Genomic DNA, 23,775 nt, shown 5'->3' with positions numbered 1-23,775 from the left:
GTTGAGACGGAGTCTCACTCTATCGCCCAGGCCGGAGTGCAGTTGCATGATCTCTGCTCACTGCAACCTCCACGTCCCAGGTTCAAGTGATCATTCTGCCTCAGCCTCCTGAGTAGCTGGGATTACAGGTGCGTGCCACCACACTGGACTAATTTTTGTATTTTTAGTAGAGACACGGTTTCACCGTGTTGGCCAGGCTGGTTTCGAACTACTGACCTCAGGTGATCTGCCTGCCTCAGCCTCCCAAAGTACTGGGATTACAGGCTGGGCATGGTGGCTCACTTTAGGAGGCCGAGGTAGGAGGATTGCTTGAGCCCAGGAGTTCAAGACCAGCCTGAGCAACGTAGTGAGATCCCATCTCTAAAATAATAATAATAATAATATACGATTTGGCTTTTATTCTCAGTGACAACAGAAGTCCAATAATTCAAGTGTTTGCCACTTCCTTCATTCATATCTTCATTCAAAATGTGTTTACTGTGCACCTGCTCTTTGCTAGTGGTGCTGGGGACACAGAGTGACCAGGACAGACCCAGTCTCACCCCCTCCCATGCACCCTCCACTCAGTAGCCAGAGGTTTCTTTTTTTTTATTTTGAGACAGAGTCTTGCTGTGTTGCCCAGGCTGGAGTGCAGTGGCGCAATCTTGGCTCACTGCAATGTTCGCCTCCCAGGTTTAAGTGATTCTCCCGCCTCAGCCTCCTGAGTAGCTGGAATTACAGGTGCACACCACCACGCCCAGAATGATTTTTGTATTGTCAGTAGAGACGGGGGTTTCACCATGTTGGCCAGGCTGGTTTCGAACTTCTGACCTCAGGTGATCCATCTGCCTTGGCCTCCAAAGGCCTGGGATTACAGGCATGAGCCACCGCACCTGACCCATCTAGGTATCTCTTGCTAAAGCACAAACTCGTCCCTGCCTCTCTCCTGCTTGGAACTTGCCTTGGCTCCCCAGGGCCCTTGGGACAAAGCCCTGCTCCTCATTCTGGCCCTGTGTGGCCTGGCTCTTGACTGAGTCTTCAGCTCTCCCTCCTGCCAAAGGCCCCTCTATAGCAGTCCATGCACAACAGACAATTCATCTCGCCCAAACAAGCACCCCCAGGATTTTCCTGCCTCTGGTTCTTTGCACATGCTATTCTTTCTGCCTTGAATGCCTTTCCCCTTGAAATGTGGTTAGCAAATATTTGTGGAGTGGGTGTTATTAGCATTTTGGTGCATGTCTGACCCTCTCATCCTGCACATCTGAGGGTGATGTGTTATGTGGGACCGAGTGCCCATCACCTTTGGAGGGAGGCTGTGCCCGAACGTCTCAACAGCTCCATGCATCTGAGAGGCTGATGCCGTGTGATGGTGTGAAGGCCATTCATTCATTCAACAAACAATTTGCCCAGTATCTACTCTGTGGTTTCCCTGGGTTAGCTGGCCCTGGCCAAGACAGCCTCAGCCCCGTCCTCATGGGGCCAACAGTCCAGTGGGGGTGACAGACCAGTTCCCAGGCAGTGATGACCAGAGTGGTCATCACTACCCAGTGACTTGCAACTAGCCACAAATAGTCTCTCTTACCCCAGTGTTGCCCTTCCCCTTGGGGGCTATCTCCTCCTCCCTTCTTACCTACTGCAGGACAATGGTCTGGCTTTTCTCCCACCTTTCCCCTGTATCACGACTTCTCCCTCTTCTGAAATACTCCCAGCAGCATACAAACATGCCATGACCCCTCCCATCTTCCCCATCTAGGTACTTCCCCAGTCGGTCCCTCCTTCCCTCCCTCCCTTCCTTCCTTTTTTTTTTTTTTTTTTTTTTTTTTTTGTTTGAGACAGAGTCTCGCTCTTTCACCCAGGCCAGACTGCAGTGGCGCTATCTTGGCTCACCGCACGCTCCACCTCCCGGGTTCACGCCATTCTCCTGCCTCAGCCTCCCGAGTAGCTTGGACCACAAGTGCCCGCCACCGTGCCCAGCTAATTTTTTGTATTTTTAGTACAGATGGGGTTTCACCATGTTAGCCAGGATGGTCTTGATCTCCTGACCTCGTGATCCACCAACCTCGGCCTCCCAAAGTGCTGGGATTACAGGCGTGAGCCACCACGCCCGGCCCCTTTTTTATTTTGAGACAAGGTCTCACTCTGTTGCCCAGGCTCGAGTGCAATGGCACAATCATGGCTCACTGCAGCCTCGACCTCCTGGGCTCAAGTGATTCTTCCATCTCAGCCTCACGAGTAGCTGGGACCACAGGCGCACACCACCACGCTCAGCTAGTTTTTGTATTTTTTGTAGAGATGGGGTCTCGCTATATTGCCCAGGCTGGTCTCAAACTCCTGGGCTCAATCAGTGCTTTCACCTTGGCTTCCCAAATTGCTGGGATTACAGGTGTAAGCCACCATGCACTGCCACTTCCCCATTTCTTACCATCCCACCCCTTCACTCAACATTGCAAAGAGGATGGTCTCTGGCTCTCCTTCCACACCCTCTTGTACCCTCTCCAATCAGATTCCCATCCCTGCCATGCCAAGGTGGGAAGATCCATTGAGGCCAGGAGTTCAAGACCAGCCTGTGCAAAATAGTGAGACCCCACCGAAAGAAAGGAAGGAAGGAAGGAGGGAGGGAAAAAGAAAGAAAGGGGCTGAAAGCCAGGCCTGGCTAGTGAGCTGGAGTTTAAGGAGTGAGGGAAGCTCTGTGCTCCAGGGCTGGAAGTCCACCATGAGACCACTAAGCTGCCACTCTCCCAGGCAGCTCAGCTCCTCAGGGACTCTCGCTAAACTCATTGAAAAGGGAAGTCCTGACCAGGTGTGGTGGCTCATGCCTGTAATCCCAGCACTTTGGGAGGCAGAGGCAGGCAGATCACAAGGTCAGGAGTTTGAGACCAGCCTGGCCAATATGGTGAAACCTCATCTCTACTAAAAAGAAAAAAAAATAGAAAAACTAGCTGGGCATGGTGGCACGTGCCTATAATCCCAGCTACTCAGGAGGCTGAAGCAGGAGAATTGCTTAAACCTGGGAGGTGGAGGTTGCAGTGAGCTGAGATCTCGCCACTGCACTCCAGCCTGAACGACAGAGTGAGACTCCATATCAAAAAAAAAAAAAAAAAAAAAGAAAAGAAAAGAAAAAGAAAAGGGAAGTTCTGGGAGATCATCCTCTTTGAATTGTGATCCACTCGCCCTAGGTGTGGAAGGGGAGCTGGAGGGAGTGCTCAGGAGGGAGGAGATGCTGGTTGATCCGCACCTACTTTTTTTTTTTTTTGAGACAGAGTCTTGCTCTGTCCCCTGGGCTGGAGTGCAGTGGCGCAATCTTGGCTCACTGCAACTGCTGCCTCCCGGGTTCAAGCGATTCTCCTGCCTCAGCCTCCTGAGTAGCTGGGATTACAGGCATGTGCCACCATGCCTAATTTTTATATTTTCAGTAGAGACAGGGTTTCACCACGTTGGCCAGGCTGGTCTCGAACTCCTGACTTCAGGTGATCTGCCTGCCTCGACCTCCCAAAGTGCTGGAATTACAGGCGTGAGCCACTGCGCACAGCCAATAATACAATTTTTTTAAAGCTCACCTTTATCTGGCCCCTTCTGGTACTGCACTCAGCACCCCCCTGCCCCACAACCACCCCACACTTCTCCATTCTAGGTGGAGAGCAGAAATCATCTTCTTCTGTTAAACAGGTTATGGTCCCTTTCCCTTCTGCCTCAGGGCCCTCGCATATGCTGTTCTCCCTGTCTGCAACTCTTCACCCTACTCCCATTTCACCTACTTCCACCTTCCGGGCTCAGCTCCAGCACCACTCATCACTTCCTCTCTCCCGCCCAGATTAGGTCAGGTGGATCCCGCTCCACCTTCATAAAGCTCCTTTACTTCTTCATGGCTCTAATCATGGTGCCAAGAAAATTGTATCTAAATTATAAATTATGGCTGGGTGCAGTGGCTCATGCCTGTAATCCTAGCCCTTTGGGAGGTCAAGACAGGAGAATCCCTTGAGCTCAGAAGTTCAAGACCAACTTGGGCAACATTGTGAGAGCTCGTCTCTATTTTATTTTTTAAAATTAATTATTTTTTATTTATTTTTGAGATGGAGTCTCACTCTCACCCAGGATGGAGTGCAGTGGCATGATCTCAGCTCACTGTAACCTCCACCTCCTGGGCTCAAGCGATTCTCCTGCCTCAGCCTCCCGAGTAGCTGGGATTACAGGCATGTGCCACCACGCCTGGCTAATGTATTTTTAGTGGAGATAGAGTTTCACCATGTTGGCCAGGCTGGTCTAGAACTCCTGACCTCAGGTGATCTGCCTACCTCGATCTCCCAAAGTGCTGGGATTAAAGACATGCGTAACTGCGCCTGGCCTATTTATTTTTGAGACAGAGTCCTGCTCTGTCGCTCGGGCTGGAGTGCAGTGGCACGATCTTGGGTCACTTCAACCTCTGCCTCCAGGGTTCAAGCGATTCTCATGCCCCAGCTCCCTGAGTAGCTGGAATTACTAGCACGTGCCTCGGCCTCCCAAAGTGCTAGGATTACAGGCGTGATACATCGCCCAAAATTTTTGTATTTTTAATAACTACAGGGTTTCACCATGTTGGCCAGGCTATCATCTCTATTTTTAAAAATTAAACTATAAATTATGATTACTAGAACTATCTATGAGAACATCTTATTACTGTTTCTCCCACTGGACTGCGACCTCTGTGAGGGCAGGGACTGGGTGCTATACCCCTAGCCGCAGCACAGGTCAGGTACCCAAAACGTGTGTGTTGAATTAATAAAATACGAGTAAATACAGAACCAGGGCAAAAATCTAGGGCCCCTGATTTCCCAACTACAGCTTCACCTTCCATAAGCCAGGCATGGAGGTCTCGGGACCCCCATTCTCAGAGAAATCAACCAACTCACCCTTAGCTTAGATAGGGAAACAAAAGGAACTAACCATAAGGGTAAATGCTTAAGAGTTTTAATCAGTCCGCCATAAAAAGCTCCTCCCCATTCTCCATCTTGGGGGCTCAGATCTTGGCTTCGGGTTGAGATGAGGGACAGGGATATCAGGCTGGGAGAGGAGAGTAAATATGAATGCGGCTGAGGGACCAGAGCTGGGATCGGAAGAAAACACAGGTGAAAAGGAGCAGAAAGAGACTGCTAACCCCAGTCCCTGAGCCAAGTCAGAAATCCAAGTCCTTTTATAGCATCCAGGAGCCAAATGTAGTGAAATCCACACATCATATCGTTCTTATCTGCAAAGTGCTGTCATCTGGCGCTGAAAGCACCAGGACTGGGCTGAATTGGGCCCGAAGTGCCTGAAGGGTGTCACTTTAGGTCTGGAGAGTCAAGAGGAGACGCCACCTTGGCCTACAGAGTTGAGAGCGAGCATCATCTTGGCCTGGAGGGGTGTGCAGGAAATGCCACCTTGGTCCAGGGAGTTGGGAGGAAGATCCCCTGCCTTGGGTTAAGAGGGGCCATCATTTTGGGCCTGCAGAAGGAAGGAAACCATGGGGAGTCCCCAGACCCCAGGATCAGGGAGGTGTAAGTAGGATGGAGACAGTAAAAGAAAGCAAAACCTATCCCACGACACTGCTGGACTTGGGAAACAGAAATCAGGCTGAGAGGGCGGGGCTAAGCTCAAAGGGGAGGAGGCAGGAGGCAGATGGGAGAACAAAAAGTAGAACCAGCACACGGAACCAGGGCCAAGCTTGGGCAGCAGAACAAGGACCCAGCTGGCTAGGCGCAGTGGCCCACGCCTGTAATCCCAGCATTTTAGGAGGTGAGGCGGGTGGATCACCTGAGGCCAGGAGTTCGAGACCAGCCTGGCCAACAAGGTGAAACCTCATCTCTACTAAAAATATAAAAAGTAGCCAGGCGTGGTGGTGCATGCCTGTAATCCTAGCTACTCGGGAGGCTGAGGCAGGAGAATCGCTTGAACTCGGGAGGTGGAGGTGGCAGTGAGCCGAGATCACGCCACTGTACTCCAGCCTGGGAGACACAGTGAGACCCTGTCTCTAAAAACAAAACAAGGACCCAGCCTAGGGTGAAGGCAGTTCTGGAAGTGGAGCTAGGATGGGAGGCGTAGCCAACTGAGTGAAGGAAGACGGCAGGGAAGCTGTGCCACATCCTGGGTTCTTGTGGGAAGAACGGGAACAAGCTCCCCACCATAAGCAGAAACCAAACTCAGAAAGGCAGAGCAGAGCCCAGTGTGTGGTGGCTCACACCTGTAACCCCAGCACTTTGGGACGCCACAGTGGGAGGATTGCTTGAGCCCGGGAGTTTGAGACAAGCCTGGGCAACATAGTGAGACCTTCTCCCCTCTTCAAACCGACAGAAAAAAATTAACCGGGCAGCTGGACGTGGTGGTGCAGGTCTGCAGTCCCAGCTACTCTTGAAGGCTGAGCTGGGAGGATCACTTGAGCCCAGGAGGTCGAGGTTGCAGTGAGCAGTAATCCCGCCACTGCACTCTAGCCTGGGTGACAGATAAACACCCTGTCTCCAAAAAAAAAAAAAAAAAAAAAAAATTGGTGAGCCCCCAGGGTGGAAACAGATTAAGGAGCAACTATGTAACAAAGGCTGGAGCCAAGCCCCAGGGGAAGGCTCAGAACCAGGCGGCAGGGTCAGGATCGGGAGAGGAACCAGATCTAAGGATAGTGGGGCCCTGGTCTCCGCAGTAGGGGTTGAACTATATCCAATATAAAGCATTATCCAAGGGGACCGGATTAGCCCCCATGGGTGACACCAAGATGGGAGCGGGGGTGGGGGGTGATAAGAGACACAGGAGACAGAGTCAGGTCCCAGAGGCAGCAAGGCCTACCCCCAAATTGCAGTCAGGTTGGGAAGTAGAATCATGGCTAGGCCCGCGGCCCCGGGTCTTTCTCAGGCTCGGTCCCTGGCACGCCGCGGATGTCCGGCAGCAGGCGGCAGCCAGCCACGATGTCCAGACGCTCGGCCAGCGCACAAAGGTCCCCGCGCGCCAGGCGCACGCTGTGGGCCGCCGCCAGCCCCGCCGCCTGGGCTGCCGCCAGCCTACTAGCCAGGGCGGCCACGTCGCGGCCTGCACGGCGGTAGACACCGCTCACGGCGGCCGCCACGTCGTGGTCCAGCCGCGCCTGGCTCTCCGCCAGCCGAAGTTGCAGGAGCGAGCGCGCGGGGGCGGGCGCCGGGGCCTCCTCCGTGCCCCAGGCCTCCTCCGCCGATTCCCGCTGCACCACGAGTGGAGGCAGGTCCCTCGGCGCGGCCGTCGGTTCCGGCTCCGGCTCCGGCTCCGAGTCGGTCTCCGCGGCTTCCCCAGCCACCCGCAGCCCCGTGGGGCGGCCGCGCGTCGGGCCCGAAGGACCCAGGTACAGCTCCTCCTCCTCCGACGAGGACGCAGAGCGCTCGGAATCCGTCTCGGTCGCCTCCCCCGGCACCACCGTCTCCGGCCTCCGCAGGGGCCTCCGCCGACGACCCTGGGACGCCATGGCACCGAACTAGGGGAGAAGAGCGAAGGGACTGCACGTGAGACCGGCGCCGCGGTGGGTAAAAGGCGCAGGTCCTGGATTCCCAGCCCCTTCGCTGATTCTCTTAACGACTTGGTGTCAGCTGCTCCCCGTCTGGGCCTCAGTTTCCTCTTCTGTAAACTGGGTGATGATGGGGGTTACTGGACCCCAGGCTCTTCAGCGTACAGATGGGGAAACTGAAGACCAGCTCGAACAAGGATCTGGGGCCCGAGTTCCCGGAGTCCCAAGCCGAGGTCTTTACGAATTTGCCTCCTAGTAGAGGCCACACCCTCCACCTGGTCCACCATGCCAATCTCAGACCCGGAAGCACACGGGCCCGTGAGCTGCTCGGGACCAGCGCCAGAGTCGCAGAAAGGATGACAGTCCGACTGGACTCTGCTGGGGGCACTCATGGGATGGGAGAAGCGCTAACGCCAAAGACCGTACCCGGCAGCTGACGCTCGGAGCTTGCGAGATCCGCTTCCTAACCCGAGTGCTGCGTTCTCACCGTGGCAGCTGAAGGGCTGTGATTTCAACCAATAGGGGAGCGGGTTGGGCGGGCATTAGCGGCCAAGTCACGTGGATTCGCCCGGCTACCAATCAGGAAGCAAGTTCTCAGCATCAGCTTTGAGTGAGCGTGCAGAAGAGTCACATGAATGGAGGAACCGCCAATAGAGAAACAGCTGGGCCGGCTCTTCCAGGTTGTGCGACGAGGAAAGTCTGGAGTGGACCAATAGGGATTTTAAAAGCCGAGTATGTCACGTGTAACCAGTAATTTGGCCAATAGGAATGCTCGAGAACCCGGAAATAGGGAAGGGACGGCAGTAAGAGCAGAAGATGTTGCCACATGTGGCCAGAGAAGGCGTAGGCCCGCCCCCTAGTGTCCCAGGCTCACGCGCACACCACCTGAGTCCGGGGCGGGGAGGCGGGGCTAGTCTAAAACACCAATGGAAGCCGGAGTAGGAGGGCTCGCGCCATGACGCAAGAGGCGTGGCTTACCAAGCCTGGCCAATGAGAGCTGGAAGCGCTGGGCGCATCTTTAGGCGTGCGAGGAGGGGGCATGGCGGATACTGTGTTGTTTGAGTTTCTTCACACGGAGATGGTGGCTGAGCTGTGGGCTCACGACCCCGACCCCGGCCCGGGGGTGAGCGCCGGGCTCCGTGGGGAGGAAGCGGGGGCCACCAAGGTAACGCCTCTGGGAGAGCGGAGGGCGCGTCAGGCGTCCGGGTTCGAACCCGGCCCAGCCCCGGCCTTGCAGGGCAACGTCTGGCCCTGGCTTCCTCCTTTGGAAAGTGGCGTTCGCGACGGTGCCGGCTCGGGGTTATTGCTAAATTGAGCGCGATGATTCAGGGTAAAGCACTTAGCTCAAGGCCTGAGTAAGCGGCTAGTAATCATAATAATGCTGTTATTGGGCGTGTGCTGAGGACTCGCCTCCCCCACTTACTAGGTGTGCGACCCAATGACTTAATCTTTGTGTGTCCTAGTTTTCTCTTTTGTAAAATGAGTATCATAACGTACCTAAGCCTCAGCGTGGGACATTTATTTATTCGACACCCACTTATTGAGCGTCTGTTGTATTCCAGGCACCGTTCTAAGACAGAATCCCTTCCTTGTGAAGCTTACATTTCACTAGGGGAGTCAAATAATAAAATGAAATATGCCGGCTGGGCGCTGTAGCTCCCAGCACTTTGGGAGGCCGAGGCCGTCGGATCACCTGAGGTCAGGAGTTCAAGACCAGCCTGGCCATGGTGAAACCCCGTGTCTACAAAAATTAGCCGAGCATGATGGCGGGTACCTGTAATCCCAGCTACTCGGGAGGCTGAGACAGGAGAATGGCTTGAACCTGGGAGGCGGAGGTTGCAGTGAGCCAAGATTGTGCCATTGCACTCCAGCCTAGGCGACAGAGCGAGACTTGTCTCAGGAAAAAAAAAAAAGAGATAATGGGGTTTTGCCATGTTGCCTAGGCTGGTCTTGAACCCCTAGGCTCAAGTGATTCTCCCGCCTGGGCCTCCCAAAGTGCTAGGATTACAGGCGTGAACTACCGTGACTGGCCCGGGACTGTGTGTGTGTGTGTGTGTGTGTGTGTGCGCGCACGCGCATCCTGCTCGGTCGCCCAGGCTGGCTGGAGTGCAGTGATGCAGTCATGGCTCACTGCTGCCTCGACCTCCTGGGCTCAAGCGATCATCCCACTTCTCAGCCTCCCAAGTAGCTGGGACCACAAGCGCTGCTGGCGCCACCACACCTGGCTAATTTTTTGTATTATTATTATTTTTTTTAGTAGAGACGGGTTTTCACTGTTAGCCAGGATGGTCTCCATCTTCTGACCTCGTGATCTGCCCATCTTGGCCTCCCAAAGTGCTAGGATTACAGGCGTGAGCCACTGCACCCGGCCAATTTTTTTTTTTTTTTAGTAGATACGGGGTTTCACCATTTTGGCCAGGCTGGTGTCGAACTCCTGACCTTGTGATCCACCCGCCTCGGCCTCCCAAAGTGCTGGGATTACAGGCGTGAGCCACCGCACCTGGCCATGTAAGACATTTTTATTGGCTCTGGTTTCCTTCCAGGGTTAGAAGCCCCAGGGAGGATGTTGCTTGTTACCATCTCGATATACAGATACAAACCTGTCATAAGTTTAAAACATCATAAATCAAAAATGCATTTAGCCAGATGTGGCGACTTGCACCTGTAATCCCAGGTACTCAGGAAGCAGAGGTGGGAGGATCACTTGAGGCCCACCGTTCAAGACTAGCCTGGGCAACATAGCAAGACCTCACCTCTAAAAGAAATTTTTATTTTTATTTATTTATTTATTTTTGAGACAGAGTCTTGCTCTGTCGCCCAGGCTGGAGTGCAGTGGCGCAATCTTGGCTCACTGCAAGCTCCGCCTCCTGGGTTCACGCAATTCTCCCGCCGCAGCCTCCTGAGTAGTTGGGACTACAGGTGCCTGCCACCACACCCGGCTAATTTTGTTTTTTTTTTTTGTATTTTTAGTAGAGATGGGGTTTCACCATGTTAGCCAGGATGGTTTTGATCTGACCTCGTGATCTGCCCGCCTCGGGCTTCCAAAGTGCTGGGATTACAGGTGTGAGCCACTGTGCCTGGCCAAGAAATTTTTAAAATTAGCTGGGCGTGATGACACATGCCTATACTACCAAGAACTCGGGAGGCTGAGGTGGGAGGATTGCCTGGGCCCAGGAGTTCAAGGCTGCAGTGAGCTATGATCATGCCACTGCACTCCAGCCTGGGTGATAGAGTGAGACCCTGTCTCTAAAAAAACATGGGGATTACTCAGTGAACCATCAAAAATTTTTGGACTCTTGGAGCTTTGTCATCATTGGAGGAGACAGACAAGTAAATGAGTAAAGTGTCTGGTACATTGTGTAACTGCTATGAGGAAGATACAGCATGGCCCAGGGAGTATGCATCAGCCTGGGGGTGGGTAATAATGTCCCAACACTCCATATCCTTCCTGGCTTTCAAACGAGAAACCCTGGAGTCCCAACACCTGCCTTGTCTCCCTCACCTGCAGCCCTCCCCCAGGCTCTGCCCAGTCAGTCTAAATACCTTTCTCACGTGGCCCCTCCTCTGCCCTGGTCCAGTGCTTTCCGCTCTCCTGTGAAATGAGCCTGCTCCCTTCTCCCAGCCCATTCCACCTGTCACATCTTCACCATGCTAACAACTATTAATCCTTCAGATCTTAGCGTAACAATCCCTTCCTCAGGGATGCCTTCCCTGAGCCCCCAGTCAAATTTGGATCTCCTTTATACATTCTCCTGGTCTCCCTCTCGCACTTTTTTCTTGGTAGGCTTCATCATACTCAATAAGGATGTATTTGATTTTTTTTTTTTTTTTGAGACGGAGTCTCGCTCTGTCGCCCAGGCTGGAGTGCAGTGGCGCGATCTCGGCTCACTGCAAGCTCCGCCTCCCGGGTTCATGCCATTCTCCTGCCTCAGCCTCCCGAGTAGCTGGAACCACAGGTGCCCGACACCACACCCGGCTAATTTTTTTTTTTTTTTTTGAGACAGAGTCTCGGTCTGTCCCCCAGGCTGGAGTGCAGTGGCGCGATCTGGGCTCACTGCAAGCTCTGCCTCCCGGGTTCACGCCATTCTTCTGCCTCAGCCTCCCGAGTAGCTGGGACTACAGGTGACTGCCACCACGCCCGGCTAATTTTTTGTATTTTTAGTAGAGACAGAGTTTCACTGTGTTAGCCATGATGGTCTCGATCTCCTGACCTTGTGATCTGCCTGCCTTGGCCTCCCAAAGTGCTGGGATTACAGGTGTGAGCCACCGCGCCTGGCAATTTTTTTTTTTTTTGTATTTTTAGTAGAGACGGGGTTTCAATGTGTTAGGCAGGATGGTCTCGATCTCCTGACCTCATGATCTGCCCACCTCGGCCTCCCAAAGTGCTGGGATTACAGGCGTGAGCCACCACGCCCGGCTGATTTTTTTTTAAAGAGAGTCTTGCTCTGTCACCCAAGCCGGAGTGCAGTAGCATGATCATAGTTCACTGTAGCCTCACACTCCTGGGCTCAAGTGATCCTCCCACCTCAGCCTCCTGAGTAGCTAGGAGTACAGGTGCACACAACCATACCCTGCTAATTTTTAAATTTTTTGTAGAGATAGGTTTTCACAATGTTGCCCAGGCTGACCTTGAACTCCTGGGCCCAAGCGATCCTCTGGCCTCAGCCTCCCAAAAACTCACACCTGGGATTACAGGTGTGAGCCAGCACGCCCTGCCAGGATGCGTCTGAATTGTGTATCTGTATGATCCTTTAATTCACATGCGTCTCCCCCAGCCGGAGTGTACTTTGTGCGGGATGGGCCTGGGTGTGTATTGATGACCACTGGATGTCCTGGCTCGTAGTGGGTCCTCAGTGTGGACGTGTTGAGGAGGTGAATGCAGAGCCTGTGCCGTGGCAGGTGGGGATGGGTGGGGACTGGGATTCATTTGGCTTATGAGCAGTGCTAGCTCTTCCCTCCCTCCCCTCATATGAGTGCTTCCTGTGTGCACTCATGGCTTCTCACTCTTGATTTCATTTGATCTTCTGATGACCCAGAGAGGTTGGCATGGTCCTCCCCGATTTACAGATGAGGCGGCGGAGGCTTTGATGGACGGAGTTCCTTGCTCTCAAGTGGCAGAGTCAGGAGCGCGACCAGGCCTCCCACTTCCAAAGCCTGTGCTGTAAACTCTCACTTGCATTTCCCAGCATTTGCCCTGGGAAGGATTTTAATGGGTTTCTGTGGTCAAGCGAGTGTGGGAAACTGGCTTACTCAGCTCTGCTCACCACCAGCCTTTCAGAGCACACGAATGTGCCTGGGACCTTGGGCAGGGGTTCCCTACCCAGCTGCCACTACATTCCGATGCTGGAGTCCCACACCAGAGACTCTGACGAACCCGGTTGGGGTGAGGCCTGAGTGTCAGGCCTCAGAAAGCTCCCAGGTGGCTCTCGCTGCAGCTAGGGGTGAGAACTGCATCGTTTCCCCTCACTCCTTCCTCCTGGGGAGCCCCGTTTTTCAGGGGGCCTGTCATGAGAAACGGCTTCCTCAGTCCTTTCTCTTTATTGGCCCCACCTCCTCTCTCCATTCCTTCTCTTTGGCCCAAAAGGGTTCCTCTGAACCAGACAGGCCTCCCGTTTCCTGAGGGCGTCTGTGCAGTACTTGCACAGTGTTGACTGCATTTAGTCCTCAGGACAGCCCTCCCGATTCACAGAGGAGGGACCCTGTGCTTGGTAGAGGAAGGGATTTCGAGGTGGTTCAGCAAGACTCAAAGGCAAAATTAGAACTCAGGCTTCTGGCCCCAGGGCTTCTGGGTAGCGCAGGCCGCCTTTCCCACCAGCTTCAGAGCTCCTTGAGGACAGGGATGGTGGCTCCTTCATCTCTGTCCCCACAGCACAGGTGCCCAGGAGCCACAGCCAGTGTGTAGGGCTTTTGTGACCTCCTATCCTGCCTGGTACGGTGGTTATTTGTGGCCATTCTCCTGGGCTGTCACAGGTTGTGAACTGGAGGACCGGCCAGAGGGGCCAGGAAGGCCTTTGTTCTCTAAGGAGGAGAAGCCCTTGGAGGAAGCAGCCGTGGCTTTTCTACCTCAGAGGCTTTGAAGACAAGGGAAGCCTTTGGGCAAAGAGAGGATTCCCCTGAGTGCATGTAGTAAAGAGCTAAGGCGCTGTCACCCATTGTCTGAGACCAGGCCCGAGGCGCCCCGAGAATAGCCCTGCTGCGCCAGGCCTCCATCCACCACACCCCGAGAGTGCACTTGGGCAGCCCCTTATCTGAGGAGGGTGTGGGGCGGGCGGAGCGGCTGTCAGATAGGTCCCTGCCCGGAACACCGTCCTGAGCATCTGTGGCTGGGAGCTCCAGCGAGGCCCTCCTGGGAACTGGGGCTCCATCCCGAAGGCAGTGGGAGCCATAGCCGGGTTTAAACTGAGGTGCGCCTGGCTCAGATTTACATTCTAGAAATGTCTCCCTGGCCACAGGAATGGACTGGATGGAGATTGGCCTGGGAAGGGCCCCGCTGTTGCAGGAGCTTAAGGCAGAGGCTGTGGTGGGCTCAACCTTCCGGGCTGGGCCAGGGGACAGGATGGGGAGTTCTGAGTGGGCAGAGGCAGGATCTGGACTTGCTCAGGATGCCTTGCTGGACCAGGGAGGAGAGTTGAGGGCAACAGCAGGGAAGTCCTGCAGGCTTCTCGCACCCACCCCTCACTCACCCATCTGTGTGCCAGCACTTCTGTCTGTGTGCTTTTCTTAACCAGGGCTGCTCCTTCCCTGGGTTCCCCACCACACCCCTGGGCCTGGCACAGAGTGGCTCAGCAGGTGGGCGTTGAACAGGGTCAGCCTCTGCCCAGGAGCTAGCAGGTGCCTAGAGAACAATCGAGGGGTAGGGCAGACACAAGAGACAGGAAGGGGTGGAGCACATGGCCCCCACCCGCCTCCCTCCCAGTTCAGGGCAGAATGTTCTCTTAAAGGCAAAATTAGAACTCAGGCTTCTGGCCCCAGGGCTTCTGGGTAGCACAGGCCGCCTTTCCCACCAGCTTCAGAGCTCCTTGAGGACAGGGATGGTGGCTCCTTCATCTCTGTCCCCACAGCACAGGTGCCCAGGAGCCACAGCCAGTGTGTAGGGCTTTTGTGACCTCCTATCCTGCCTGGTACGGTGGTTATTTGTGGCCATTCTCCTGGGCTGTCACAGGTTGTGAACTGGAGGACCGGCCAGAGGGGCCAGGAAGGCCTTTGTTCTCTAAGGAGGAGAAGCCCTTGGAGGAAGCAGCCGTGGCTTTTCTACCTCAGAGGCTTTGAAGACAAGGGAAGCCTTTGGGCAAAGAGAGGATTCCCCTGAGTGCATGTAGTAAAGAGCTAAGGCGCTGTCACCCATTGTCTGAGACCAGGAGCTCCCAAGTGTCTAAAGGGGCTTTGGTTTGCTTTTTCCGTTCATCCTCCTTGGAGCTCAACCCCTTGGCTTCAGTCTGGACGTGTGAATCTTCCTTTAGCTCAGGACATTTTTCTCCTGTGATCTCTCTGATGATTTCTTCTCCTGCATCGTTCCCTGTATGTCCTGTAGGCACCACAGGGAATATTAGACTTCCTGCATCTCTTCCAAGCATCCTGTAGCTTTTCTCTCATTTTTTCCTCCCTCCTGTTTTTCTTCTGGGAGGTGTTATCTGTCTTACAGGTTTCTCTGTTATTCAGTTCCCTTGTTAAAAAGTGTTGATTTTGGCCACCATATTTGTTCATTTCCAGGAACTCTGCTTTGTGTCTGATTGATCCTTCCTGTGTGGTGGATGTCATTAGCACCGACACTGATAAGACTTCCCTTCCACCTTTCCTTTCATCCGGTCTGTGTGTAAACTCAGCAGAGGCAGGCGTGGGGAGCCCCAGAAATGCACCGGCTCTGGGCTGGGCTCTGGCAGATTCATATGAATGGGAGAGTCTCTGTCTGGCCAGCCCTTCTGTTTTGTTTTGTTTTGTTTTGTTTTGTTTTGTTTTGTGACTGAGTCTCGCTCTGTCACCCAGGCTGGAATGTGTTGGTGTGATCTCAGCTCACTGAAACCTCTGCCTCCCGGGTTCAAGCGATCCTGGTGGCTCAGCCTCCTGAATAGCTGGGATTATAGGCGTGCGCCACCACGCCCGGCTAATTTTTGTATTTTCAGTAGAGACAGGGTTTTGCCATGTTGGCCAGGCTGGTCTCAAACTCCTAACCTCAAGTGATCCTCCCGCCTTGGCTTCCCAAAGTGCTGGGATTACAGGCAAGAGCCCCCGCGCCCAGCCCCTTCTGTTTTTAAGAAAGATAAACCCCTAACCTCTGAAGAGCTTTTGCAGTGACATGGGCATGGACACCACCAGGTCTCGCTGTGATGAGGTGGGTGGAGGCTTCTCCCTTCCTCCTCCGCCCTTTCTTCCCTGCCTCCTGCTCCTCCTCGGCCCCTCCCTTTTGCTGTGATTCCCCACAGCCCTTTTCAGTTCAGCCAGGATCTGAATGGCCCCTGTCCAGGGCTGGGTACAGTGGGGCCAGCAGTCACACAGCCGTGTATCCAGCTGTTGCCACCTGCCAGTCACACCACCACTGTGAGCAGGTACTGCCATTAGCCCCATGGCACATGTGGGGAAACTGAGGCACGGGATGGTTGGCTAATCTGCCCAAGGTCACAGAGCCAGTGAGTGGCGGGGCCGAGATTCAAACCCAGGCAGTGTGAAGTTCATGAAGGGAAAAGCTGAACTTGCTGGAACCCCTTCAGACTCCACGCTCCTGGCCTGGCTGAAGGACCCTGCTGACTCTCTCCCCCAGCTCACCCCTCCGGGGGCTGCCGTCCTGGCTGTGACCTGGGCCTGGTGTGCCTTCACAGCCCACTCCTGCTGTTGAACTCCCCCTCTTCCCTCAGGCTCAGCACAGTCGGGGTGCTTCCTAGGGGTGGGAGTGCACCCTCGCAGCACACCTGCCTCCCTCTTGGCAGTCGCTGTGAGCATAGTGAAGCCGGCCATTGCACCTTTGCCCATTCCCCGGGTGAAACGCCAGCTCCAGCAGGGCAGGGACTGAGTCTGTGGCCCACTGTGGCTGGCATTCAGGCAACGTGGCCTGCGTTGACCCTCAGGTTGGCTGCACTTGCCTGCAGGGGAAAATGCCCCCTCTGCAGCCCACTCTGAGGGCCCCTTCCCTTCCCCGCCTCTCACCCCTGCCTTGGCACATGCCCTTTGCTTGGAATACCTGCCACCTCCGGCCCCCTCCTGGAGGGCAGGCTCTGCACTGCACTGCCCGGGCCCCTTGCACTCAGTCTCCCAGCCCTTCCCAGATTGTCAGTTGGCATCATTTGGGCACCTGTCAACCCTGCCAGGCAAGGTAGGTGAGCTCCTGGAGGACACTAGGAAATGTCTGTGGCATGAATGAGGGAGGGACATAAAGGAGCCCTTAGCGAGTGGGGACACAGACGTGTTCCACCAGAGTGCAGCCTGGCCCTGCCTCTGGGAGCTTTGCTGTGGACACAGACGTGTTCCCTCAGAGTGCAGCCTGGGCCCTGCCTCCAGGAGCTTCGCTGTGGGAGGAGGTGACACGGGAGCCGCAGCTACCAGGCAGCGAGCTCTCGCCCGGGCTGTTCTAGGTGCTGGCTACAGGAGCCCACAGAACAGACCCCCTTCCTTCCTGGGGTTCTCCTCCAGCCAAGGGCTTCATCCCTCATTGGCTGGGGCCGTCTCCTTGTTTGACAGATGTGGAGGCTGTGAATGCAATAAGTAAGGCTCCCGGAACTGCCTTGAAGTACTCAGGTTGCCTTTACCAACCCTTACTCCTTGTGAGGATCCTGGAGGTAGCTGCCATTAATATTCCCCTCCTTTGGGCTGGACGCAGTGGCTCACACCTGTAGTCCCAGCTACTTGGGAGGCAGAGGTAGGAGGATCACCTGAACCCAGGAGGTAGAGGCTGCAGTGAGCCAAGATCGTGCCATTGCACTCCAGCCTGGGTGACAGAATGAGACCCTATCTCAAAAACAAACAAAATGACCCTCTTTTTTACATGAGGAAACTGAGGCACAGGTATTCAGCCATTGGCCCAGGTCCCACACTGGTAAGTGCTGGGGCGGATCTGGACCCAGGCGGTGGCTCTGCACCTGCGCCGCTGGTAGTGCTGCCATGAAGGACCCACGGGCAGGGGTCTCTTCCCACTCTGTCTCTCACACACACCTGCCCGTCTCCTGCAGTCATCGGCCCCTTCCATGAGCCTCTGCTGTGTGGCCGGCCCTGCTGTGCCTGAGGACACTGGAGGAAAGCAGATGGTGACACCAGAGGGAGACAGTGCAACAGGAAGCCGTGTCGTTGTCACCCATGAGGGCGAGGCCTGGCAAGGGGCCAGGCAGAGGAAGGGCCACCTTGGCTTCAGATATGGGCGACCTCAGCTCAGGCCCCCCCGCCATTCCCAGCGCTCCTCACCTCCGTGAGGCCCTCAACAGCCATGGCTGTCACCCCACCCACCCTCCTATCTGGACCTGCTGGGGTGTGAAAGACAGTCCCGTGCTGAGGGTGCCTTGGATGGGTTCTTCTTAACCTCAGAGCCCCTGTTTCCACCTGGAATTACAGCCTTCTGTGAGGCTGGAAAGGTAAAACAAGAAGGCTGTAGAAAACGCCTGCCACACAGTATGCCGGTCCTGGAATAACATTTTGTTGTGACATTGATGAGGAAAAAATAATGATTCCCGGGACCATTGTCTGGGTGGTGGTTGTGGGTTCTCCCTGTGCTGGTGCAAGTTCCTCTGGGCTCTCCTTTCCTTGTGCATCCTTGGGATGTGTCCGCTGGGTGAGCTCCCGGGTCTCCGTGGGCCCAGTGTGAGTGAGTGTGGGCCCGTGTGCGCCCTGTGATGGGATGGCGTTCTGTCCAGGGTCCATTCCTGCTTTTGGCCCTGCCAGGACGGGCTCTGGCCACCCAGGACCCTGAGCTGGAGGAAGCGAGTAAATGTCTTACTGGTTTTTTGTTTTTTATTTATTTTTTAAGACAGGGTCAGGGCCGGGCGCGGTGGCTCACGCCTATAATCCCAGCACTTTGGGAGGCCGAGGTGGGTGAATCACGAGGTCAGGAGATCAAGACCATCCTGGCTAACATGGTGAAACCCCGTCCCTGCTAAAAATACAAAAAAATTAGCTGGGCGTGGTGGCGGGTGCCTATAGTGCCAGCTACTCAGGAGGCTGAGGCAGGAGAATGGCGTGAACCCGGGAGGCGGAGCTTGCAGTGAGCCGAGATTGCGCCACTGCACTCCAGCCTGGGCGACAGGGCGAGACTCTGTCTCAAAAAAAAAAAAAAAAAAAAAAAAAAAGACAGGGTCTTGCTGTTGCCTGGGCTGCAGTACAGTGGCATGATCATGGCTCACTGCAGTAGCGACCTCCTGGGCTCAGATGATCCTCCTGCCTCAGCTTCCCAAGTAGCTGGGACACGGGTGCATGCCACCACACCTGGCTAACTTTTGTATTTTTTGTAGAGAAGGGGTTTCGCCATGTCGACCAGGCTGGACTCGAACTCCTGGACTCAGCTGGGCGCGATGGCCCACGCCTGTAATCCCAGCACTTTGGGAGGCCGAGGTGGGCAGATCACCTGAGGTTGGGAGTTCGAGACCCGCCTGGCCAAAAGAGAAGAAACCCTGTCTCTACTAAAAATACAAAATTAACCGGGCGTGGTGGCTCATGCCTGTAATCCCAGCTACTGGGGAGGCTGAGGCAGGAGATTCACTTGAACCCGGGAGGCAGAGGTTGTGGTGAGCTGAGATCGCGCCGTTGCACTCCAGCCTGGGCAACAAGAGCGAAACTCCGACCTCCCAAAGTGCTGGAATTACAGGAGTGAGCCACTGCGCCCGGCCTAATCTTTCTTAAACGTATGTATAGCTCACATTTATTTCAGTGTTTAATATTTCAAGTGTTTTCATCCTTATTTAGAAGTTTGGTGATGTGTTTGTACCAGAAATATGGCATTGGAACTTCACTCTTGTTTATGTTAATTAACCTGCGTGAAATTGGTTTCATCATATGTCATTTTGCTTAAAGCCATAGTTTCCAAGAGCCTGTTGACAGCATTAGGTAAGGACTTACGGTGTCCTTTGTTGATGCACGTTGTCTCATCAGCCAGTCTGTTAAGCACCACCCACATGCCAAGCTCTGTGTTGGCTGCTGAAGGCCGGATGTGAATTGGTCAGCCTGGGTCCCCACCTTCACAGAGCTGTGTCCTCATCCAGGGACAGTGTGCAGTGGGCAGGGCTGGGGACGCAAGCTGGGAGGGAGGAAGGGAAGGAAGTCGGTACAAAGGCTCAGAAGTCTGAGCGAATGTCCTCAGGGGGCAGAGGAGAGGGTGAGGGAGGGATGGAGGCAGCTGGGCCCGCAGGCTGCAAGAAGCCTTCCTCGGACACGCTCTCCAGGCTGGGAGACCCGCTCCAGGGCTGGAGCCAAGCAGAGAATTCGCATCCCCATTCGGATGGCTGCGCTGATGGTGCAGCCCTGGAGGGAGGAGGCGGTAGCTGCCATTCCCAAGGGAAGGTGGGGGTCAAGGGCAGGAGAGGGAGGGCTGCAGGGCTCAGGCCTGGTGACTGCAGGCTCCTGAGAGCAGCCAGCGGGAGGGTGAGCTTCCTTCAGCTCAGGGCTGCACACCTGCCGCCTCTGTTCCCCCACTTCTGCTCTGCCAGGCTTTCTCTGAAAAACCTGGCGCCTCACGCCCCAGCCGTCCTGGGATTTCTGGTGCCCCCCAGTCTGGGCCTCCTCCCTTCCTCTGCTTGCAGCAAAACACCCGAATGAAAAAAAAAAAAAAAAAGATCCATGGCCAGGTGCAGTGGCTTTTGCCTGTAATCCCAGCACTTTGGGAGGCCAAGGCGGGCGGATCACTTGAGGCTAGGAGTTTGAGACCAGCCTGGCCAACATGGTGAAACCCCATCTCTACCAAAAATACAAAAATTAGCCGGGTGTGGTGGCACACAGGCCTGTAATCCCAGCTACTCGGGAGGCTGAGGCAGGAGAATTGTTTGAACCCGGGAGGCGGAGGTTGCAGTGAGCCAGCATTGCACCACTGCACTCTACCTAGGCAACAGAGTGAGACTCTGTCTCCAAAAAAGAAAACTCGCCAGGCGCGGTGGCTCACGCCTGTAATCCCAGCACTTTGGAAGGCCGAGGCGGGCAGATTGCCTGAGCTGAGGAGTTCGAGACCAGCCTGGGCAACACAGTGAAACCCTGTCTCTAATGAAATACAAAAAATTAGTAGGGTGTGGTGGCGTATCCCTGTAGTCCCAGCTACTCTGGAGGCTGAGGCAGGAGAATTGCTAGAACCCGGGAGGCGGAGGTTGCAGTGAGTCAGAGATTGGGCCACTGCATTCCAGCCTGGGCAATGAAGCTAGACTCCATCTCTTAAAAAAAAAAAAATCCATGAGCATCTCCTCTCCTCCAGCCATGCCCTCCACACACACAGGCACGTGGACAGACACCGAGTGCAGCCCTCCTACCTGGGGCCTGCCTCTGCCAGCACAGTCCCCTCCTGTATGGACCCTGGCCTACCCTCCAGACACTACATGGCAGCCACTGTCCTTTTCGAGCACCCAAACGAAGATCTGCCTGTCCCGAGCTTCCACGTGTTCCCCAGGGATCTTGGCCAATATTATAAGGCATGATGATCATGGTTGACTTCCACAGCCCCCTTTCCTGTGGCCCAGCCTCCAGCCCTTGGGCAGGTCACCTGGAGCATCTTGGTGGAGTCGCAGCGCCCACTTCCCAGGGCATTGTGAGGGTTCGCGCTGAAAGCACGTGCAGCCTGTCATGGGGGTTATCAGGAAAAGTCATGGAGGAGGAAGGGAGCCTGGGGAAGACCCCCATTGTTCCTGAGGGAAGGGGGAGCTGGTTCTTGGGGGCTGATGATCTGGGGATCCAGAGAGCCTGCAAGGTCTGCAGAGGTGGGTGAGGGAGCCCCAGCACCCTAGAGGCCTGCCCCTGCCCTGGCCGGGCTGTGCCAGAGCCCCTCCCTGCTCACCCCTGAACTGACGAGCACCAGCAAGTTGGTCTTTGGGTCCCCTGGCAGGTCCCCCCCTGGGTGGCCCCGGGTTCGTGGTGGCTAAGGGCCCCTGAGCATCTCTCCCCTGGCCTTCTAGGGACAGAAGATGAGCCTGTCGGTCCTGGAGGGTATGGGGTTCCGTGTGGGCCAGGCTCTAGGCGAGAGGTGAGCGCGGCCCCTCCTGCTCTCCCCCAGCCTGGCTGGCAGGGCTGGGCAGGCCCCGGGCGGGGAGGGTTGCATTGCTCCATGCAGGAGTCGGGCCTGTCTTCCTCCCTCTTCCTGGCCTGGCCCCACGGCCTCAGCTTGGTACTGCCCCACCAGGCTGCCCCGGGAGACGCTGGCCTTCAGGGAGGAGCTGGATGTCCTCAAGTTCTTGTGCAAAGACCTGTGGGTGGCGGTGTTCCAGAAGCAGATGGACAGCCTGCGCACCAATCACCAGGTGGGAGCACCCCGGCCTGCCCGTCCAGCTTCCTCCTGAGGGCAAGACCAAGAGAGTGGGAGGGGAATCCCCCGGCGCCAGAGCAGCGGCTGCCGGGACCCGCCCAGAGCTTTCCCACAGGCGGCCGCAGCTCTTGCTCTGTCTGATCCTCTAAGGGAAGCCAGGAGGCTGCGCTGGGGCATAGGGGGTGTTTCCGGAACTTCTCCAGCCTACCAGGAGTGAGCCATGCATGGGCAGAAAGCCCCTGGTGGCTGCCTGCCCTACCCCCAGTGTGATGCTGCTTGTCCCAAGCTGGTCTAGTCCCCCAGTGACACCCAGGCTGTACCTGCCCTTCTGCATCTTCCTGGGCCGGGTCCCCAGCTTTTCTGCACAACCCTGGGAGGCGAGGGCAGGACCCACACTCCCCAGGGCACAGGCACCCACTCCAAGTTTGGAAGCCCTGGGCCCTACCAGAGCACTGGAGGCCAAGGCTGTGACTCCAGTGGTTCTCAGGAAGGGGGCCTTCCCAACCTCAGCCCAATCTAAGACCTGGGTTCCTGCTTACCCTCCCTGCGCTTCAAATGTACAGGCCCCGACCCCACCCACCAGCCTCTCCTCTCCCCCAGGGGACCTACGTCCTGCAAGACAACAGCTTCCCCCTCCTCCTCCCGATGGCCTCTGGCCTGCAGTATCTGGAGGAAGCACCCAAGGTATGGGGGGAGCTGGGGCCTTGTCCACACCTCCCTTCCTCCTGTTTACCCAGCCCCATCCCACATCAGGCCTTTCCCCAGGCCTAAGGGGTGCCCCAGACCTCGGGTGCTGGCCTCCCCTCTCTTCCCATGCTGGTCTGTGTTCCCTCCTCAGTTCCTGGCCTTCACCTGCGGCCTCCTGCGCGGCGCCCTCTATACCCTGGGCATTGAGAGCGTGGTCACCGCCTCCGTGGCAGCCCTGCCCGTCTGTGAGTCATGGGGGGTGGGGGGATTCTTCTCATCCCTTGAGTTGCTGGGGGCTTCAGAGTTCCAGCCCCACTCCTGTGTGTGTGCCTGGGAGGCAGGCCCAGTTTTAAGTCACCTGCTCAGCCACACGGCTGGTGCAGGCCCATCTGTGCCCCTGGCTCCGTGACGTCGCCAGCCCTGCAGAGAGAACTGTCTGGCGGTTTTGAACATCGTTTCCCAGCATGGGAGCCGAGGTGGACGCAATAGAAGTTATCCTCACTGATCCTTCGATGGGGGCGACGGCAGGCTCCAGGGAACTTGCAGCCTGCCTGACTGGGTGTCCTCTGTCAGACAAGCTGGAGCCCCATTCCTGCCTGGGGACAGCCTGCCCCACCACCTCCCCCACCTTCAGTTATTTTGCCTCTGCCGGTTCCCCAGGCCCACTCATGGGGGCCCCCGGGGCCCCCGTGGGGTAGGACCGAGCAATGCATACCACAGAAGCCCGTGCCGGGCGCTTCCCTGGGGCCACATCCGTGGCCCTCATGCTCCTGGTTACTCACACAGCTCAGGGATGCGGCCCCGTGGGCGGGAGGAAACAGCCCAACCTAGCCACTGGGGTGTCAGTGCAGGACGGGGGTGAGCGCCTAAGAGCCGTCCAGGTGCCCTCTGCCTCCCCCATCCCATCCTCAAGCCTAAGCCAGGCCTTCTCTTCCAGGTAAGTTCCAGGTGGTGATTCCGAAATCCTAAGCCTGCCTCGCACCTGCTGAGCCGCACTGCTGCCCCTGGCCTCACCGGCCTCAGGAGACGGTGGGGCCGCTGCATTTCGGGGTGGTCTTGGGAATCCCAGGCCCTAGGGGTCACATTTGCTCAGGAAGTGGGTATCAAATTGAGGTGGGGGTGTCAGAGGAGGCAAAGGGGTCCCAGCTGCGGTCAGGACTGTGGTGGGATTCCCGCCTCGGCAGCGTCACTGCCCAGTAGCTGCTCAATAAAGGCTGTGTGTGTGGAA

At 55.9% G+C, this 23,775-nt stretch overlaps 2 protein-coding genes across 12 annotated transcripts in view, besides 9 other annotated features; one reads left to right on the top strand and one right to left on the bottom strand.

Annotated features, from left to right (window-relative positions):
* The window catches only part of BLOC1S3 (biogenesis of lysosomal organelles complex 1 subunit 3), a 38,300-nt gene extending 30,376 nt beyond the window's left edge, over window positions 1-7,924 (bottom strand). For 4 of the 6 annotated variants that reach the window (XR_007066811.1, XR_007066813.1, XR_007066812.1 and 1 more), the window contains exon 1: window positions 6,766-7,924. Coding sequence is in view for 1 of the 6 variants with exons in the window: in NM_212550.5 (NP_997715.1) it covers window positions 6,803-7,411 (609 nt within the window). In the remaining 5 variants the exon portion in view is untranslated. Of the gene's footprint in view, window positions 1-4,907 lie in introns of those variants that run through there. The other 2 variants (XR_007066810.1, NM_212550.5) reach the window with 2 other exon arrangements.
* Window positions 5,710-6,211: an enhancer, noted in NCBI's record as "H3K4me1 hESC enhancer chr19:45683755-45684256 (GRCh37/hg19 assembly coordinates)". NCBI's record gives its function as "activates a minimal SCP1, AML or CMV promoter by ChIP-STARR-seq in naive H9 embryonic stem cells {active_cell/tissue: H9 hESC(naive)}" and the evidence as "EXISTENCE:reporter gene assay evidence [ECO:0000049][PMID:30033119]".
* Window positions 6,637-7,137: an enhancer, noted in NCBI's record as "H3K27ac hESC enhancer chr19:45682829-45683329 (GRCh37/hg19 assembly coordinates)". NCBI's record gives its function as "activates a minimal SCP1, AML or CMV promoter by ChIP-STARR-seq in naive H9 embryonic stem cells {active_cell/tissue: H9 hESC(naive)}" and the evidence as "EXISTENCE:reporter gene assay evidence [ECO:0000049][PMID:30033119]".
* Window positions 6,637-7,327: a biological region, named in NCBI's record as "H3K27ac hESC enhancer GRCh37_chr19:45682829-45683329".
* Window positions 7,018-7,327: a silencer, noted in NCBI's record as "silent region_10757". NCBI's record gives its function as "represses an Ori minimal core promoter by ATAC-STARR-seq in GM12878 lymphoblastoid cells {active_cell/tissue: GM12878}" and the evidence as "EXISTENCE:reporter gene assay evidence [ECO:0000049][PMID:35858748]".
* Window positions 7,678-7,997: an enhancer, noted in NCBI's record as "active region_14789". NCBI's record gives its function as "activates an Ori minimal core promoter by ATAC-STARR-seq in GM12878 lymphoblastoid cells {active_cell/tissue: GM12878}" and the evidence as "EXISTENCE:reporter gene assay evidence [ECO:0000049][PMID:35858748]".
* Window positions 8,068-8,137: an enhancer, noted in NCBI's record as "active region_14788". NCBI's record gives its function as "activates an Ori minimal core promoter by ATAC-STARR-seq in GM12878 lymphoblastoid cells {active_cell/tissue: GM12878}" and the evidence as "EXISTENCE:reporter gene assay evidence [ECO:0000049][PMID:35858748]".
* Window positions 8,150-9,093: an enhancer, noted in NCBI's record as "H3K27ac-H3K4me1 hESC enhancer chr19:45680873-45681816 (GRCh37/hg19 assembly coordinates)". NCBI's record gives its function as "activates a minimal SCP1, AML or CMV promoter by ChIP-STARR-seq in primed H9 embryonic stem cells {active_cell/tissue: H9 hESC(primed)}" and the evidence as "EXISTENCE:reporter gene assay evidence [ECO:0000049][PMID:30033119]".
* Window positions 8,471-23,775, top strand: TRAPPC6A (trafficking protein particle complex subunit 6A). 6 transcript variants are annotated; one of them, NM_001270891.2, is made up of 6 exons: window positions 8,471-8,573; window positions 21,514-21,581; window positions 21,738-21,855; window positions 22,461-22,544; window positions 22,699-22,792; window positions 23,485-23,775. In NM_001270891.2, exons 1-6 carry the CDS (start codon window positions 8,490-8,492, stop codon window positions 23,514-23,516), a joined length of 480 nt encoding a protein of 159 aa, NP_001257820.1. In that variant the 5' UTR covers window positions 8,471-8,489; the 3' UTR covers window positions 23,517-23,775. The 6 variants fall into 6 exon arrangements, with proteins under 6 accessions (NP_001257820.1, NP_077013.1, NP_001257822.1 ...); NM_024108.3 differs by having other exon boundaries at window positions 8,471-8,615; NM_001270893.2 differs by lacking the exon at window positions 21,514-21,581.
* Window positions 8,498-8,717: a silencer, noted in NCBI's record as "silent region_10756". NCBI's record gives its function as "represses an Ori minimal core promoter by ATAC-STARR-seq in GM12878 lymphoblastoid cells {active_cell/tissue: GM12878}" and the evidence as "EXISTENCE:reporter gene assay evidence [ECO:0000049][PMID:35858748]".
* Window positions 22,609-22,788: an enhancer, noted in NCBI's record as "active region_14787". NCBI's record gives its function as "activates an Ori minimal core promoter by ATAC-STARR-seq in GM12878 lymphoblastoid cells {active_cell/tissue: GM12878}" and the evidence as "EXISTENCE:reporter gene assay evidence [ECO:0000049][PMID:35858748]".

This window comes from Homo sapiens, chromosome 19 (genome assembly GCF_000001405.40).
Source record: "Homo sapiens chromosome 19, GRCh38.p14 Primary Assembly".
NCBI lineage: Eukaryota > Metazoa > Chordata > Mammalia > Primates > Hominidae > Homo > Homo sapiens.
Note: the sequence above shows the minus strand (reverse complement) of the source record. Positions and strands in the feature narration are given on the sequence as shown.

Coding starts and splice junctions, on each gene's coding strand:
- TRAPPC6A (NM_024108.3), top strand. CDS start 8,490: ATGGCGGATACTGTGTTGTTTGAGTTTCTTCACACGGAGATGGTGGCT. Junction 21,582..21,737: donor GGCCAGGCTCTAGGCGAGAG/GTGAGCGCGGCC, acceptor CTGCCCCACCAG/GCTGCCCCGGGAGACGCTGG. Junction 21,856..22,460: donor GCCTGCGCACCAATCACCAG/GTGGGAGCACCC, acceptor CCTCTCCCCCAG/GGGACCTACGTCCTGCAAGA.